The sequence below is a fragment of the Homo sapiens genome, chromosome 14 (assembly GCF_000001405.40).
Source record: "Homo sapiens chromosome 14, GRCh38.p14 Primary Assembly".
Classification (NCBI taxonomy): Eukaryota; Metazoa; Chordata; class Mammalia; order Primates; family Hominidae; genus Homo; species Homo sapiens.
The window spans coordinates 93,826,836-93,846,710 of NC_000014.9; the positions used below are offsets into that span (position 1 = coordinate 93,826,836).

Here is a 19,875-nt window from a genome sequence, read left to right on the forward strand (position 1 = left end):
TCTGTCTCAAAAGAAAAAAAAAAGAAAGAAAAGAAAAGATCTAGAGAACTTAAAGAAAAAGGTGTTAATTTCTGAGATGTCTACAGCCCTGAAATGGATGTGGTTCTGTGTATAACCTGGAGCTACACACAGAATCCATCAATTTGTTCTGCAGCTTTCCAGTGTGAACCCAGGAGGTCACATTGCAAGACTCCTCAGCCATCTCAGCCCCAGCTTGCTTAGGAAACAGAGGCCAAGTTGGGGCCAGGCACTGAAGCTCACTTAAGTCAGCTGAAGTAAGAAGGGGCCAGTCACTCTGAGGACACAATGCTGTCTCACGGCACCACGACAGCTTGACAACATGATGGATGGATAGGAGATCGAAGAGGGCAGAGTCAGGGCAACCACACTTGACTGGGGAAGAGGTGGGGACTCCACACTCTTTGGAAGTGTGGAGAAAAAAAATGACATAAAACCAGGTGCTGTAGCACATGCCTGTAATCCCAGGTACTTAGGAGGCTGAGGCAGGCAGACCAGTTGAGCCCAAGAGTTTGAGACTAGGAACTGAAGTCCTTTATCTGCATGTCCCTTGAAGACCAGCTTATTAGGCTCCATATACATGGTGGGAAGCTGGCAGCCACAGCACCATGCTCACGTTTCACGGGGCTAGCCACCAACGCGAGGCAAAATAACTCCTTTTCAGTATCAACTACAAATTCCTAAGGAAGAAGCTGATTGGCTCAGCTTCATTCAAGTGCCCCCCCCCAGGCCCAGTCAACCATGGCCAGAGGCAATAAGTTACTTGGAATGAAAATATAATTTTAGCAGATACATTCATCATCAAGCTCTTACTATGTGCTAGACACAGGCATTTTGTCAGTTGCATCCTCCAACAAGCAGGTAAAATTCTCCTCCCCATTTTACAGATGAGGAAACTGAGGCTTGGGCAGGTTAAGTTACTAATCCAGAGATGTAAAGCTAGAATTTGAGGCTGAGCAGCCTGACTTCAGAGCTCACACTCTTAGCTGTCAATGTAGACTGCCTCCATGGCTGCAGTCCATTGCAACCACACAGAAGGGAGCAAGGAGGAAGTTTCCAGAAAAAAAGGGGGCCAGGAAGACAGGTGCATTAGTCGGGGTTCTCTAGATGGACAGAACTAATAGGATAGAGAGATATATATATAAAGGGGAGTTTATTAAGCATTAACTCACATGATTGCAAGGTCCCACAATAGGCCGTCTGCAAGCTGAGGAGCAAGGAGAGCCAGTCTGAGTCCCAAAACTGAAGGACTTGGAGTCCGATGTTCGAGGGCAGGAAGCATCCAGCATGGGAGAAAGATGTAGCCTGGGAGGCTAGGCCAGTCTAATCTTTTCACGTTTTTCTGCCTGCTTTATATTCTAGCCGAGCTGGCAGCTGATTAGATTGTGCCCACCCAGACTAAGGGTGGGTCTGCCTTTCCCAGCCCACTGACTCAAATGTTAATCTCCTTTGGCAACACCCTCACAGACACACCCAGGATCAATGCTTTGCATCCTTCAATCCAATCAAGTTGACACTCAGTATTAACCATCACAACAGGCCCGTAGTTAACCACTAACGCCACTCAGGGGATTAATTACGTTATTTTAATTTACACTCATATGGCACTCGATGTGGCCATGCACTGGTCTAACAACCCAAAAGATAAGTGCTATTACCATCCTGTTTTATAGATGAGGAAACTGAGGCATGGAGATATTAGGCCACTCAATGCAGCCGGGGCAGAGCTGGAATGAGATTCCAGGTCTCTTGAACTGAGCACTGGAATCCCTTTCCCTGCCACCAGGTTGTCTGTTAGGAGTGTGTGTGTGTGTGTGTGTGTGTGTGTGTGTGCGCGTGCATGTGCATCATATGTGTGCATATGTGTAAGCATCACAGTCACAACTATGGTGCTCAGCCCCACGTGAGTTTTCTTGGCAATTCCCTGCCCACTCGCCTGAGCCTACCCCTCTTACTCCTTCTGAGTTTGTTTTACTTTGTCATTAGCATGGCCTTGGGCTTTGAAAGCAAATTTCATTACAAAAATGACAGCTGGCAGCCCTCACAAATTCCTTTTCGCTTTGAAATGGATGATCCAGGGCTGTGACTAAGAAGGACCCTGTTTGCCTTGGTGTATGCACATGAGCAAGGCAGGTCCTGGTTCAGAGGGCATCCACACCCCCATCCCTAGCTTGGGTGCTGAAACCTCTGGCTAGGGCTCAGTTCTAAGTCTTGACATTGCTCCTAACTTCTGGGCCAACACTGAGTTGTGTTCACTCCGGAGCTAAACTGGAAGGTGCCATTTTGGATTTTATTATATCCTGATTCTGAGTCACAGCCCCAAAAGGCCTGATCAAGGAGTTGATCAGTCAGGAACTGTGATTTGCCCTCCTGCTGACAGTTGCAAACTTTATCACTTTGGTCAAGTCAGCTCACCTTCCTGAACCGCTGTTTGCTGATCTGGGAAAAGGGAAGAAGAAGAATAACTCCTTCTGGGGATCCTCAAAGGGCTCAAAGGAGAAAAGGCTGTGAAGGCGTGTGCTGCTGCAAAGAATAGCCGGCTATTAACATTACTGCCACCTCAGTCAAGTTTTCCAGGGGGACGGGGGTCATCAGCAGGGATAGTCCATGTGGCAGGCAGGTCAGGGTTGAGCCTGTACCAATGCCTCCCACAGGGAAGATTTGTCATGCCAGTACCTGAGCCTTGTCGTTCCTGTGTGCAGCTTTGGGAGTGAGGGACACTGCCTTCATTGTCAGTGCAGTAATCAGTAATAACAGAAAGGTTCCTGGTGGTCCCACAGCCCCGCCCAGCAGGTGGGTTTATTCCCCACCAATGTCCCCTTGAATTTCTCCCCTTGGCCTGTCAGTGGGCTTCCCTGGCCACAGTCTTTTGTTGGTCATTTAACAAAGATGGATTTCAGGGACCACGAAATATTGATTAAGTCACATCTCTAAATTACTCTGCTGTCTTCTACAAAACACTGGTGATGGTTTTTACGGGCAAGCTCCTGCAAACAGAGCTTTCCACTTCAGAGAACGGGCTTCATTCCCCTTCTAAACTCAGGGGTCAGCCTCTCATGTTGCTCAACAAATGTTGGATGCATGACGGATGGATGATGAAGGATGATGGATGGATGGATGGATGGATAGATGGATGGATGGATGGATAGATGGATGGATGGTGGATGGATGGATAGATGGATGGATGGATGAATGGATGGATGGATGGATGGTGGATGGATGGATAGATGGATGGATGGATGGATGGATGGATGGAAAGAAGGAGGTGTGGAGTGAGGGAGGAAAGGAGGGACAAAAGGAAGGAGAGAAAGATGATGGATGGATAGATGGAGGAAGGGAGGGATAAAAGGATGGATAGATGGAGATTCAATTCATGAAAGAGTACAGGTTCTGTTTTTCTTTGTTCTGGTCTTCAGGAAGAAACGTCACTTTTTTAAGTGTGCAGATATTAACTTAACAGATGTTTGTTGAGCATCTGCTATATGCTGGGTAAATGGGAGCATAGCAATAAATGAGACACCATTCCTGCCTTCGAGGAGCTTACTACAATCTTGTGGAAAAGAGGTTCAAGAGACAGAGAATTACAGTACAGTCTACCAAATTTAATTATAGAGGAGGACACATGATACATGGTCCCAGGGTTGCTCACTGGAGACACTGATCCAGCTGGAGGGGCATCAGAGAAATCTTCCTGGGGGAAGGGGAATCTACTGAAATTCATGAAGGGGTTTACAGATTGAAGCTTCACAAATTGTCTTGACTCAGCACTTAACATCTATATCCATTCTTGACTATACAGTTTTAAATCATGTTCTTGCTCTTTATTGTTTGTTTCTCTGTGTTTTATGAAGATGTTGATTCCCTTGGGACTTCTGTAGCGAATAAACTTGACCATTTTCTTTAACTACAATATTCCCCACCCCCCTGCATGCTGGCCTGAGAGTTGAGAAACCTGCTTTAAGTTCCAACTCTGCCATTGACCTGCTGTGTGGCCTTGGGCAAGGGGCTCTGCCTGCATGGGCTGGAGTTTCCTCATCTGTAAAATGACTCAGTGAGCCCTAAAGTCATTTCCACTTGCAGTCAAGCCTTACAGTGTGAAGCTGGTTAGTAAATGCAAGATCTGCCCCAGGGTTGCCAGTCAGTCTCACTCTGACTGGCAAAACAGCCTTTTTCCAAGTCACACTGGGCCTTTCTAATCCTGTAATCAACACAATACTTTATACGGCCTCAGGCTTGTGGCTCAACAGGGATGAACCAGGCCAGGGTGACAGGGACCCTTTCTTCCAATTGCTTTCAGGCAGCATTGAGATGTAAAAATCCTGTAGTGTAGAGTAGGGACAAGTCCATATGCACAGGTTCCACTGCTAATTTTGCTTTGACCCTGCAGAAACTCCTATACATTCCTTACACACGTCCCAGACATCACCTCCACTGGGAAGCCTTCCAGGATCACCTCTTGTCCACCCATGTAGCCACCCCCAGCATCACTCCCTTCTCTGCCTCCACCCATTGCAGGCTGACCTCCAGTCTGGCACTGTCACCCTCATCCACTCTCAGCCCCGTGGGTGCCAGGGCTGTTTCTTCTTCAACTCTATGTGCCCAGAGTCTGGCACGAGCACCAGGGTCTAACAGGGGCTTAGTAAAGTGGTGGAATGGTTGAAAGAACAAATGACCAAATGACCGAATGAATTAAATGATGACCCCTTTGCCCTCTAACTGGAAATCTATGCCGGACGCCCCTCTCTGAGCCTCACTTTCTTTGTGTGTATAGGATTTGACTGAATGGTCCAAGATCTTCTTTAGTTTTAATATTCTGTAGTTTTGGCCAGGCACGGTGGATCACACCTATAATCCCAGGACTTTGAGAGGCTAAGGTGGACGGATCACCTGAGGTCAGGAGTTCAAGACCATCCTGGCCAGCATGGTGAAACCCCGTCTCTACTAAAAATACAAAAATTAGCCAGGCATGGTGGCATGTGCCTGTGATCCCAGCTACTCGGGAGGCTGACGCAGGAGAATCACTTGAACCTGGGAGGCAGAGGTTGCAGTGAGCCGAGATTGCGCCACTGCACTCCAGCCTGGTTGACAGAGTGACACTCCATCTCAAAAAAAAAAAAAAAAAATCTACAGTTTGATTTAAATTTGTCAGGCTGGGATATCCCTAACCCCTGGCTATGCCCATCACCCCTCCTGTCACCCCCGCCATCCCCTCGCACAGACACCAGCTGCCCGGTATTTGGTGTCCCTGGCCTCTTGGGTTTAGTGAGGTAATTGTCACCGTGACTGTATTCCTTATTTCCCAGATGTCAGAGTGTGTATCTGTGTGTGTTTGAAGGGTGGGCAGGTTCCTGGAGAAGCCATCAGCTCTTCATGGGGAGGGACTTCCTTTTCCTTGTGTCTTCCTTGGCTCTGTGCCCTGCTCCAGATGGCCCTCACACCCTAGGCCTTGGGTTGGGCTCTGGAACAAGTGAAGACTGATAGGGGTTGGGAAGGGGAGTAGTTCCAAATGGCTCCAAGAAAACCAGGAGAGGCTTCCTGGAGGAGGCAGCATTTGAGATTGATCTTGAGGGAGGGAGGGAGGCCTGGAATGCACGGGTGGGGAGTATGCAGGTACTTCTTTAGGTACTGGGGAGCCACAGCAGACTTTTTGAACTGAGAAATGACTTGACCACAGCTGCAGTTTGGAAAGACCCATCTGGCATCAAGGTGAGGGTGGGCAGGAGCCAGCCTGGAAGAGGAGGAAACAGCAGCTGGGGAGCTGTTGCAGGGGGGTTAAGTGAAAAGCCTCAAGTGATAAGTTCGATTTTTTTCTCATTGTTTTTTTTAAGCAAATCTTGCCTGGCTGCCACAGGACCTGCTGGCTTAATAACTCCTGAGTTGAGGTTTGACAGGTGGATGCTAGGCTCATACACCTTCCTTGTTCTGCCAAGACCCAGCCTATTTCAGCAGAAAGGGAGTCAGTGCCAGGAGCTCTGGGGATATTGGACACCCGCCAAGGCCAGGAACTGCCAGGCTGCAGCGTGTGCCTTGTGGATCTGGATTTCATTTTGACACAAACCCCAGATCGTGCTGCTAAGGCTTGGACCCCACACCCATCTCTCTGTTTGTTGTCTCTGAGGAAACAGGAAGACTTTATGGTTCTGATGACATGTTGGCCTTGAGGAGGGGGGCATCTTCAGGAATCCCATGCCCAGATGGGATCTGTAATTGGACAGCTCTTGCCCAGGGAACATCCAAACCAACCACCAGTTCATCCTCAGCTGAAAGAAGAAGCCCTCCTCCACTCTCTTTCAGCCAACAGCTCCCTTGGAACTTTGGGGGAACTTAGGAAAGGACAGGAGAAGAATCCTGGGGCAAAGAATAATATAATGTCTTGCCCACGGTCAGTAACTTTCAGGAGACATCACTCCCAGAAAGCTCCTCAAAGCCTGCTGAGGACATCCCTATCCAGCAGCCTGAATTTCCAGGCCTTGCCAGCCCCTTCTTCCTTCTTTCAAAATAACTTATCCCACCAGGTTGCCCATGGCTCTGTTTTAACCCAGATGCAGACTTGCTTGCTTCTGCTGCCATGGGGGCCTGTGCAGGGCCCACCCGGTGTTGCCACATTGGGTCTTCTCACAGCTATCTCAGGAAGCAGACAAGGAGGTTGAGGCTCGAAGCAGTGCAGTGACTCTCCTGGGGCTTCTGGTGCCCTTAGAGAGGAGAGCTGGGGCTTGTGACTCAGGGGCGGGGTTCTTCCAGTCCTGTCCCTGCTATTTCCCTCCTTTCTGCTCCAGGAACTAGCGTGGAACTGCTGATCCCTTTTTGTGGAGGAATTGAAATGCCAATTGTGTAACAAAGCTAAGGAATTATTTCCAGGGATCACTGTTCTGCCCCGGAGGCTGCCATAATTCCCCATTGTGCTGGTGATTGTGAAGTCCTCAGCCTTGTCTTTTGGAGCTTTCAGGTAAGGTGTCCCATTCCCACACACATGCCTGGCTTCCTGTCCCACCAGCCATGCCCTGTCTGTCTGTCACAGGCCTGTACAAATGCCACTTCCTCCGGGACACTTTCAGAACCATTCCTGACAAAGCGATTTCCTTCTTGAATACCATTCCTATGCCACTGAGGTGAAGAACGCACTAAGCACACGCCACAGCCTTCTGCACGTTCCCTACAAGGCAGACGGGATGCGGATAAGAGAGGGGGCGCAGAGAGTGAAAATGGTGAGCCAGAGTAGAGCCATCTTTGTCCCAAACATCTCAGCACTCTGTGCCATGCAGCCAGCCCCCTGCCCTGCCTGGACTTCTGTTTCTTATCCTACCCCTCTGGCTTTAGGCTTATGACCTGAGTCTCCCACCTGGCCTCTTCCTTACCTGGGTGCCTTGTAATATACACCAGCTACTATGCTTTCCTCATACGATGCCATTTCATCTTCACAATAACCATAGGGTGGTAGATATCCCTAGTCCCATTTAACAGATGGGGAAACTGAGGCTCTGACAGGCCATTTGACTTGTCTATGGTGACTTGCCCAAAATCGCATAGCTAGAAGGACAGAACAAGAATTCATTCATTCATTCATATTTACTGAGTGCCTGATATGTGTTGAACAAAACACATTTGGTCCCTGCTGTCCTGAAACTGATCCAGAGCCTGGACTTGGACCCCGCAAGGGAGCGCAGGCTTCCAACCTGAGGCTGGGAGACAAAAGGACCACGTGCCTCCTTGAGCGTGACTCTGGCTTCTTCCAGTGAAATATGGAGATTCATGTTTCCTTTCTGTGTCGTGGACACCCAATCTGTCTTGTTTTCTGGCATTCAGGGCCACCAGTGGCTCGGGCTGCAATCCGTTGGAGTCATCCTTCCTTCTGTTTAATCTTTAAAATGAGAGCCGAAGCGCTGTTGATCACTTTCATGAGCTGCAGGAGATGATGGCAGCCTGATGGGGCTGTAATTTCCCAAGCTCCTCTCTTCTCTCCACTCCTGCAAATTGATGGGACAGGGCTATTTGCCTTCAGGGTCTGTAGGCTGTCATCCCGGTCATGCAGCCCCAGTCGGCTCCCGGTTGATTTCCTCTCAACCTCTCCAGTCAGAGCCTGCAGGGGCAGGAGCAGGTCCATAGAGGAAGCCAGTCTGGTGCCAGCCATGCCAAAAACCTCTGTGTGTGCCGGCATTACTGTGGCCCGGGGTGGGGGATCCCAGAGGAACACACTGGGCTCTCTGAGGGCTAATGCCTGGAGGAGGGGGAGACAGTGTTGGGAAGACTTGGGAGGGGATGTCACTGTGGTCCAGAAACTACTCTGCAGCTTTGCTGGAGGTGGGGAGAGAAATGAAGGATCACATCAGCAGTGAGTTTATGATGAGTCACACACTGTGCTAGCCCTTTCCAGGTGGCATCTCATTTCACCTCCATAACGACTGTATGAAGAAGACATTCCTGACTTCGTTTTACAGACAAGGAAACTGAGACAGAGGTCAAGCACCTTGCCCAACATCACATAGTCATTAAGCAGCAGGGCTGAGATTTAGACCCTGAGCTGAGATTCAGCCCATGATCCTTCCACTGTACTGGTAAGGTGGTCCAGAAGCTTGGGGCTAATTCACACATATCAAAGTCCCAAGAGACTGATGTACAAACCGGAAAGTGGGGTTATTGGTTTATGGAACTGATCTACTTTCTCCAGGACCTAGAATATTCCTGGCCATCATGTTTAAGTCATCCATTGGTTTTCACTAGGCACAAAAACAGAGGGAGCAAAGTTACTCATTCTTGGGAATTATTTCACTGAGGCTGCAAAAAAGCCTGGTGAATTCTCCCAATCCCCATGCATGAGGTTGTGTGCCTGAGGGCCCTGTAGTGGGTGGGTGGGTGGCTTTTGCCAGCTGCTGGAGGAACACTGATAAATCTCACTACCTTGGTTTCCTTTTTTTCTTCTTCTGTAGATTCCTTCTAGAACTCCATTCTGGTTATCAGTTGCTATATAGCAAAATAACCCAAAACTTAGTGACGCAAAATACCCATCATTGTTGCATGCACAAATTCTGTGGATCAGGAATTAGGGCACAGAGGAGATGGTTTGTCTCCATGATGTCTGGGGCCTCATGTAGGAAGACCCAAAGGGTGGGGCTGACTCAAATGGCTGTGATCTAGAATCATCTGGAAGCTTCTTCACTCATGCATCTTGTGCCTGGGCTGGGACACCTATTGGGATCTCTCTCTCTTTCTACAGGTCTCAGGGCCTCCATGTGGTATCACCACATGGCCTCACCAGCACTGTGACTTCGGGCTTCAGGGTATTTTGGCAAATAATGATGGCTCAGGGGTCCCAGAGCAAACAGTGAAAGATGCATGGCCTTCTCTGAGCCAGCCTCCAAAATTACATGATGTCACTTCTGCCCTACTGGATGGGATTAAAGCCATGGCAAGTCCACCCAGATTCCAGGTGAGAGAACATGCACCCTGTATTAGTCTGTTCTCATGCTGCTATGAAGAAATACCTGAGACTGGGTAATTTATAAAGAAAAGAGGTTTAATTGACTCACAGTCCTGCATGGCAGGGGAGGCTTCAGGGAACTTACAATCGTGGCAGAAGGGGAAGCAATCATGTCCTTCTTCACATGGTGGCAGGAGAGAGAAGTGCAGAGTGAAAGAGTGAAGCAGGGAAAAGTCCCTTATAAAACCATCAGATCTCCTAAGAGCTCACTCACTATCATTAGAACAGCATGGGGGAACTGCCCCCATGATCTAATCACCTCACATAAGGTCCCCCCCACAACATGTGGGGATTACAATTTGGATTACAATTCAAGATGAGATTTTGGGTGCAGACACAGCCAAACCATATCAGGCCCATCTCTTGAAGGGAAGAATGTCAAGGAATTTGCAGCCATGTTTCAAAACCTCTGCAATTACCTGCATCATTTGCACACTTTCTTCAGAAGAAACACAGCTGGACTTGTTCCTATGTGAATTTCCTTTTCAAGACCCAGCCTACCTTTCAAGATGATAGTTAATAAAAAAAAAAGTATCAATTATCAGACAGTTACTTTGGCCTAGTGACTGCACTAACTACTTCACGTGAGGAATGTGCTATGTCTTAGTCCATTCAAGCTCCTATAAGAAAATAACTTAAACTGGGTGGCTTGTAAACAACAAAAGTTTGTTTCTCACAGGCTGAAGGCTGAAGAAGTCCAAGATCAATGTGCCAGTAGATTTGATGTCGGGTGAGGGTCCCACTTTTGGGTTCGTAGACAGTGCCTTCTTACGGTGTCCTCACATGGCAGCAGGAGCAAGGCAGTTCTCCAGGGTCCCTTTCATAAGGGCACAAATATCATTCACAGGGGCTCCACCTCTATGACTTAATCACCTGCCAAAGGTCCCACCTCCTAATACCGTCACCTTATGGGGTGAAGATTTACATAGGAATGTCTAGGGGACACAAACATTCAGGCCATTGCATGCGCTCCTGTTCCCCATTTTACAGGTGAGAAGCCAAGGCTTCCAGCAGGTCAATAGGTTGCCCCAATCACTCAGCAAGGAAATGTCAGAGGGAAGAGCAATACCCAGAGCTCCTCATCTCCAGAGCCTACACCCTTAATGCCCTGTGCCCTGGCCCACCACGCTGCCTGTGAGTCTGCTGTGTCTGGTTTTATTGGCAGGACCTGGCTGTTTCCCGCAAGTCCTCCAACATCACTCAAGCTCCTGAATCTGTTAGAAGTTGTTTCCTCTCATTCTTACTCCCAGAAGGAAATCTTATCTCCATATTCTAGGGATACTCTCCTCTAGTGATGGCTACAACTGGTATACATTTGGCAGCTTACTAGATGGTTTCACTATAAAAAATGTATTATGGGGCTGGGCGCAGTGGCTCATGCCTGTAATCCCAGCACCTTGGGAGACCAAGGCGGGTGGATCACTTGAGGTCAGGAGTTCAATACCAGCCTGGCCAACATGAAGAAACCCTGTCTCTATGAAAAATATAAAAATTAGCCGAGCATGGTGGCGTGTGCTTATAATCCCAGCTACGTGGGAGACAGAGGCAGGAGAATCGCTTGAACCTGGGAGACAGAGGTTGGAGTGGGCCAAGATCGCACTGCTGTACTCCAGCCTGGGTGACAGAGTGAGATTCGGTCTCAAAAATTAAAAAAAAAAGCATTATGAAGCTGCAATAATTAAAATTGAGAGCAACTCAAATTTATTTTCATCTGAGAACTGAATAAACAAACTGTGATAGAGTCATATAATGAAATATTACTCAATGATGAAAAAGTATGAAATAGTGGTACTCACAACAGCGTGGGTGAACCTCAGATGCATTATGCCGAGAAAAACAAGCCTGACTCAAAAGCCTATATACCATAAACATACTGTAGGATTTCATTTATATAACATTCTGGAAGGTAAAACTATAGAGACAGAAAAAACTTCAGGACCTAGGGGTAGGAGTCAGCTATCAAAGAACTTGATAGACACAGTGGAATATTATTCAGCTGTAAAAGGAAGGGAATTCTGTCACATGTGACAACATGCGTGAGCCTCGAGGACATTATGCTAAGGGAAATTAGTCACAAAAGATAAATCTCATTTACATGAGGTATCTAAAGTAGTCAAATTCATAGAAACAGAAAGTAAAATGATAGTTTCCAGGGAGCTGGGGTGAGGGGGAAAAAGGGAGTGGTTTAATGACATAGAGTTTCAGGTCTGCAAGATAGAAGGTTCTGGAGATCTGTTGCACAACACTGTGAATATTCTCAACACTACGGAACTGTATGTTTGAAAATCAAAAAGGTGGCATATTTAATGGTGTGTGTTTTTTAAAAATCACAGTTTAAAATAAAAAAAATTAATTGAAAACAAAGACATGACAGAGTGTTTTTGTGGTGACAGAACTATTCTATATCTTGGTTATGGTGGTTTTCCAACTGTATGTGTTTGTCAAATTCGACCTGGCCACTAAGGCAGGAGAGTTTTGCTGTGTGTAAATTATACCTTGATAAAAGTGAATTTTAAAAAAGCAAAACCAGAAATGATCTGGTACAGGAATAGTCCACTCAAGCAATAATGTGTATTTCTCGAGTACTTGCTATGTGCCGGACACCATTCTAGGCACTAGTAGAACCAAGGCAACTTTCATGGAGTTTACATTTTTGTGAGAATGTAATAAAATGCAATGATCATACAGACTAATGGAATAAAAGAGATACTGGAGAAATAGACACACACACACATATATCCATATCTATCTATCTATCTATCTATCTATCTATCTATCTATCTATGCATCTATCTATCCATATCAGTTTAATAGAGGATAGAGGTGGCATCACAAATTATAGATGAAAGCAGGGCATGGTAGCTCACGCCTGTAATCTCAGCACTTTGGGAGGCCGAGGCAGGTGGATCACCTGAGGTCAGGGGTTCGAAACCAGCCTGGCCAACATGGCAAAACCCCATCTCTACTAAAATATGAAATTAGCTGGGCATGGTGGTGCATGCCTATAATCCCAGCTACTTGGGAAGCTGAGACAGGGGAATCGCTTGAACCTGGAAGGTGGAGGTTGCAGTGAGCCGAGAATGTGCCATTGCACTCTGGCCAGGTCAACAGGAGCGAAACTCTGTCTCAATAAATAAATAAATAAACACAAATTATAGATGAAAAATGGATTATTCCATTATTTCTAACTTTATGCTATATACCCAAACAAATTCCACATAAAGATTACGATGTAAAAAAAAACCTTTGTGTTGAAAATGTAAAAAACATAAAGAATAAAGAACATATAAATATTTACGTAATCTTGGCCTGGGGAAGAGCTTTCTAAGTATAAAATCAAAGGCAAATGCATAGAAGAAAAGAGTAATCGATTTGACCACATATAAATTGAGCCACCTGACATCAGAAACACTGTAAATAAAACTAAATGTCAAACCACTATGAGAAAATATTATTTGCAGCATGTATTGTAGAACAAGGATTAATATCCTTCATGCATAGTGTTATGAATTGAGAAGAAAAAGGCAAATAGTGTAATAAAAATGGTCAAAGGACATACAATCTGACACTTTAATTATTTTAGTTTTGTATTTCAACAATTTACAAAACAAGTAATAAATATAGTGGCCAAAAACATAGGAAACGTATCCAACATCACTAAAAATCAAAGAAATGCAAAGCAAATCAAAGTATAATTTTTTCCTGTCAAACTGAAAACAAAATTTAAAATCATAACCTTCAGTGTTATTGAGATTTAGGAACTGGCATTTCCATGGCCTGCTGGTGTCAGTGTAAGTTGATCGAGCCTTTCTGGAAGACAATGGAAGAATGCATATCAAAAGCCTTCAGGACAGTTGTTTATTTGTTGCCTCTCATCTTCATACCTCCTGCCCACACCATTTCTGTTCGGTAATGCAGGGGCTAGAAGTCTGCAAACTTCATTTTCCAGATACCTTGCTGGCTTCCAGTTTGCTAATGGGAGGCAATGGTGGAGATTGAATGGTGAGAGGAGGGGAGAAGGGACTCTGTTTTGATTTCTGACTGAGGTCTGCATCCCTCCAGCAGCAGCCATGCCACCTGCACCCCAAGCACCAGGCATGTGGTGCTGCCTCAGAGGTCAGTGCCCTCCTCTCAGATGTCTGAGCGTGGCCGCAGGCGCCCCCTGAGAGTTCCAAGCACAGATCTTGCAGTGTCCTGCCCTGAAGGTCTGAGCATGAGCCTTAGGGAGCCTCCTCCTTCACATGCCTAAGTTCTGGACGCTCCATGTCTTTTTTTCTTTTTTCCCCCAAACCTGGGAATGGCAGCTCCTTCTTGCAATTATTAATCTCTGGGTTACCTCTTCATCTTTTGCTTTCTATCTTGTCTCTTCTCTCTCTCTGTCTCTCACCCAGGCTGGAGTGTAGTGATGTGATCTTGGCTCACTGCAGCCTCGGCTTCCCAGGCTCAGGTGATCCTCTCGCCTCCTGAGTAGCTGGGACTACAGGCAAGCGCCACCACACCTGACTAATTTTGTTTTAAATTATTATTATTTTTAGTAGAGACTGGGTTTCACTATGTTGCCCAGGCTGGTCTCAAACTCCTGTACTCAAGCAATTCGCCTGCTTTGGCCTCCCAGAGTTCTGGGATTACAGGTGTGAGCCACGACACCCAGCCTACTTTGCATCTTCTCAACACCTGCACAGTCAATTCCGTATATTAAATCCTCTCTCTTTGAAAAGACCTCTGATTTTCCTTTTCCTGGCCAAATTCTGGCTGATGATACAGTCTGTATCTAGAAATTCTACTTCTAGGAACTTATTTTAAGAAAACAATCATGGATGTGTTAAAAAAAAATGTGACCTAATTTATTAATAGCAAAAATGTCAACCAAAATACCCTAAAAGCCTGACAATGTGAGTAAGTTTTGGGTTTGTGTCCCCCAAATGGATATGTTGAAGTTCTAACCTCTAAAGCTTCAGAATGTGAACTTATTTGGAATTAGAGTCACTGCAGACATAATTACTTAAGATGAGGTTGTACTAGAGTAGCATAGAACCTTAATCCAATATGACTAGTGTCCTTATAAGAATTGAAGAAGGCCAGGCACAGTGGCTCATGTCTGAAATCCCAGCACTTTGGGAGGCCAAGGCAGGAGGATTGCTTGAGACCAGGAGCTTCAGACCAGCGTGGGCAACATAGCAAAACCCCATCTCGACAAAAATACAAAAATTAGCCAGGCATCGTGGCGTGTGCCTGTAATCCCAGCTACTCAGGAGGCTGAGATGGGAGGATCACCTGAGGCTACAGTGAGCCATGATGGCGCCACTGCACTCCAGCCTGAGTGACAGAGTAAGACCCTGTCTCCCCTCCCTCTCACCCCCCCCCAAAAAAAAAAATTGGAGAAAGAAACACAGAGACACACAGAGAAGACAGTCACGAGATGATAGAGGCAGAGACTGAAATTATGCCGCCATGAGCCAAGGATGGCTGGCAACCCCAGAAGCTAGGGGAGTGACATGCTTGGAACAGATTCTCCTTTTGAGCCCCCAGAAGGAACCAATCCTTGATTTTGAACTGCTGGCCTCCAGAACTGCAAGAAAACGCATTTTTTTCTTTTGTAAGCCACCCAGTTTGCAGTGCTTTGTTATGGTAGCCCTAGAAAACTGATACAATGAGATGGGTTAAATAAATTATCCTATAGTCACATGATGGAAAACATAGCAATGATGAAAATACGAAACAATATTGTGGAAAAATGTATGATAATATCAAACGACGTTCATGACGTGTTATGGTAAAAAATAAGACTACACAATTTGAGCCCATTTTTGTAAATCAAAAAAAAAAACAAAACAAAACCACCTATATGGTGAACAACAACAACAACAAACTTGAAAGTTTACACCTCAAATCACAACAATAGTTACATGGGCAGGCGGGAAGTATTGTGCATGATTTCTATTTTCTTTCTTTTGATTATCTTTGTTTCTAAATTTTGTACACCGAGCACAGTTCATTTTTGAACATGGTTTTTTAAAAAGTGCTTTTAGTCTTAGCATTTTCTCTGATTCTTGCAAGGACCTTATGAGGGACTCAGCAGTTCTTGTTACACTTAATGTCCTATGGAGAAACTGAACCCCGCAGAGAGGGGTCAGGGAAAGGTACTTCCTTCCCATGCCATGATCAGAAGTTGAAAGAGAACTTGTTCAAATAAGAGTGGCAGCATTCCTTTCTCTCCTTGAGACCAAGCTCCATCCAGGACGTCTGGAGAGCAAACTGAGTAGATGTGAGTATCCATGATAAATTACCAAAGATGTCATGGGAGAAACCATATAAATCTCTTGGTTATTTTTAGCACCCTCTGTTTCCACTGACTAACTCCACAGGACCTTAGGCAGCTTCCCAGGGACACTATTTTGTTACTTATTTATAATTTATTTTACATTTATGTTGTATTTTTATAAGATTTTCAAACATACAAAAGTAGAGAGAAGAGTAAGCTGCCCTGAGCCCAGCACCCAGCTTCAACAACCATCAAAATTTTGCCATGCCAGCTTTATCCCTACCTTACCCTCAGTTTCCCCTAGAGTATTTCAAAGCAAATTGCAAACTTGATGTCATTGCACTCATAAATACTTCCATGTGCGTCTCAAAAAAGAGGGGAGTGTGTGGATATTTTCTTATTTAACCTCCATGTTATTATCACATCTAACAAAATTAATTATAATTCCCTAATATGGCCTGGTACTGAGTCCATAGTCAAATTTCTACTGGGGCCTTATTTGGGCTCACCTCATTGTCATAAACATCCAGCATTAAACCACGAAGGGGGTGGCGCTTCCCAAATCTCTGAGAGGTTTGTCTTGCTGACATTGCTCTTTCCTGGGGCATGGGGTTGAGTGATGGGTCTGTGATTGGAGAAAGGGCAGGTAGAAGATAGATGCTGCACAATTTGTAGAAAGAGAACTTCAAGAGAATGCTCTGACTCTGCTGTGTGACTTGAGCATGCTACTTATACTCTCTGTGCTGCTATTTCTGCTTCTATGAAGTGTGGAAAATAACCAAAGCCAGTGATTTACCTGTTTATCCACAGGCCCTTTTCCTGCCTTTCCCCATCATGTCTAGAGGGCAGCTTGAGGACCAGAGCTGTGCCCTGAGGACAGCCCTGGGAAGGGATGTGGAAGATCGGGGTTCTCGCTGATGTTGTTGGTCCGCTGAGCTTACCGACCCTGGGACCACCTGCCTTGGACTTCCTGTTTTGAGGTGCAAATGTGTTCTCCAATGGAAAAGAGTCAAAATCTGTAAAATGTTAGGTTTATTCTGAGCCAAATATGAGTGCCTGGGGCCCAAGACACAGAGTTAAGAGGTCCTGACAACATTTGCCCAAGGTTATTGGGTTACAGCTTGATTTTATACATTTTAGGGGGACAGAAATTACAGGCAGACATCAATCAATGCATGTAAGGTGTACATTGGTTCAGTTCAGAAAAGCAGGACAACTTGAAGCAGGGTGGGCAAGACGGTGGGCTTCCAGGCAGATTCCAGGTGGATTCAAAGGTTTCCCGATTGGCAGCTGGTTGAAGAAGTTGTTATTTAAAGACCTGGAATAAATAGAAAGGAGTGTCTGGGTTGATATAAGGGGTTGTGGAGAAAAGGTTTTAATTATGTAGATGAAGCCTCCAGGTAGCAGGCTTCAGAGAGAAATAGATGGTAAATGTCTCTTATCAGACTTTAAAATGTGTCAAACTCTTAGTTAAATCTCTCCCAGATCAGGAAAAGACCTGGAAAGGGAAGGAGATTCTCTAAAGAATGTAGATTTTCTGCTAAGAGACAGCTTTGTAAAGCTATTTTAAAATGCGTCAAATAAATGCTTTTTGGGGTAAAATACTTTGATTTTTTTCAGGGGCTGCTATTTGTCATGTGATGCTATACTAGAGCCAGGTTGGAATTTAGTATCTTTTTGGTACAAGGAGTCTGTTTTGTCAACCTTAAGATCTGTTAATGTTAATGCTGATCAGTTGTGCCTGAATTCCAAAAGGAGGAGGGTATAATGAGGTATGTCTGACTCCCACTTTCCATCATGGCCTAAACTAGTTTTTCAGGCTTATTTTGGAATGCCCTTGTCCAAGAGGAGGGATTCATTCAGTCATTTGGTGGGCTTAGAATTTTATTTTGGTTGGCAGTTCGCAGTTTAGCTAATCCAATGGAGGGCTTGGGTTATTACTTGCAGCCAAATGCGTTTGATGCATTCATTGAGGTAAGAGACTTTCAATCTCTATTAAGGTGGCCTCAAGCGGCTTAACCAGTAAGAGGGTCTCCCCTTCTCCCTTTCCCTAGACTTCATATTCATGTTTATATCAGCAGTCTGTGTGAGACTGAAGAAAGGGTGCTTTTGCTTACAAACAGAGCAGCAATGCAGCTTGAGAGCCGTTGACAGGAGACAAGCAGATGCCACCCCTAGGAGTGAAGAGCACCCAGGGCAGTGTGGGTAGGCAGAAAAGTGACTTCTCACACAGGTGTGGCCAGACTGTCACTCAAAGAATCTCTGGCACTTTGGGAGGCCGAGGCGGGCAGATCACTTGAGGTCAGGAGTTCAAGACAAGCCTTACCAAAATGGTGAAACCCTGTCTCTACTAAAAATTAACTGGGTGTGGTGGCGGGTGCCTGTAATCTCAGCTACTCTGGAGGCTGAGGCAGGAGAATTGCTTGAACCTGGGAGGCGAAGGCTGCAGTAAGCTGCGATTGTGCCACTGCACTCCAGCCTGGGCAAAAAACCGAGACTTTGTCTCAAAAACAAAACAAAACAAAACAAAACAAAACAAAACAAAACAAAACAAAACAAAAAAACCTCTGACATCTCCTCTTGTGAAGCCTGGGGTTGACACAGGGCCTATGATGGTTAATTTTATGTGTCAACTTGGCTGGGCCATGGTGCCCAGATAGTTGGCCAAACATTATTCTGGATAATTCTGGGAGGGTGTTTTTGGGTGAGATTTACATTTAAATGGGTGGACTTTGAATAAAGCAGACTGCCCTCCCTAATGTGCATGCTTTGGGGAGTGTGGAGGGGCATTCAATCAGCTGAAGGCCTGAGTAGCACAAAAGACTGATGTCCCCTAAGCAAGAGGGAATCCAGTAGCTGACAGCCTTTGGACTTGAACTACAGACTTGGCTTTTCTTGGATCTCTAGCCTGCCAGCCCACCCTGCAGATTTTGGACTAGACAGCCTCTGTAATCACATGAGCTAATTCCTTAAAATAGACCAATTTATACACACATCCTATCAATTCTCTTTTCCTTCTTCTTCTTTTTGAGACAGGGTCTTGCGCTGTTGTCCAAGCTGGAATGCAGTGGTGTGATAATGGCTCACAGCAGCCTCAAACTCCCGGGCTCAAGCAATTCTCCTGCCTAAGCCTTCTAAGTAGCTGGGACCACAGATGTGTGCCACCATGCCCAACTAATTTTTAAGGATTTTTTGTAGAGACAAAAGTCTGGCCATGTTGCCCAGGCTGGTCTCGAACTCCTGGCCCCAAGCTATTCTCCTGCCTCGGCTTCCCGAAGTGTTAGGATTATAGGCGTAAGCCACCATGCCTGGCCTGCTTCTGTTTTTCTGAAGAACCCTGACTAATACAGTGCCTATACTTGTAAAATTAAGTTGTTGTGATTCCATGGGTAAATCAAGGCAAAGACAGGCCCTGGCCCCTGAAATTATCAGAGTCAACTATGTTACAAACCTAACTTGGGTCCACCTTCCCGGTACAGCAAACCCAAATACTGACATGTGGATTCACAGAGAGAGAAAGTGAGGCACTGCAGGATGCCAAGCAAGGAGAATCGGGCAGCTAAATCTCGGGACCTGAACTCTCCTATGGCTTACCTGGAGGGGGTTTTAAAGGTGGGGAAGCAGCAGCTACCTGCAGTCATAAATCAGTACCGGGAGGCCATATATTGGTTTCACCTGAAAAGGTGGGACATCCTAAAGCAGGGACCCACAGGTCATAGGTGGACTCAAAGATTTTCTGATTTGCGATTGGTTCAGGGGGAGAAATTTTGTCTAAAAACTTGGGGTCAGCATAAAGAAATGTTGAGCCCTGGCCTGTGGATGTGACTTCCTCCAGCTCCCTAAGGAAGAAATTTAGAACAAAGAACAGCAGTCAGGGTTCATTCAGTCTTCAGCTCCCCCTTATCTGAGGTCTATGTGCCATCAGACAGCGGTTTCCATTTGATGGGGGTCTGGGTTTCTGAAAAACAACTCAGGGACATAAGTTAAGATGTTATCTTGGCCGGATGCGGTGGCTCACACCTGTAATCTCAGCACTTTGGGAGGTCATGGCGGGCAGATCACTTGAGCTCAGGAGTTTGAGATCAGCCTGGCAACATGGCAAAACCCCATCTCTTATAAA

General features: G+C 45.8%; 1 annotated feature.

Annotated features, from left to right (window-relative positions):
* Positions 13,035-13,573: an enhancer, noted in NCBI's record as "NANOG-H3K4me1 hESC enhancer chr14:94306216-94306754 (GRCh37/hg19 assembly coordinates)". NCBI's record gives its function as "activates a minimal SCP1, AML or CMV promoter by ChIP-STARR-seq in naive H9 embryonic stem cells {active_cell/tissue: H9 hESC(naive)}" and the evidence as "EXISTENCE:reporter gene assay evidence [ECO:0000049][PMID:30033119]".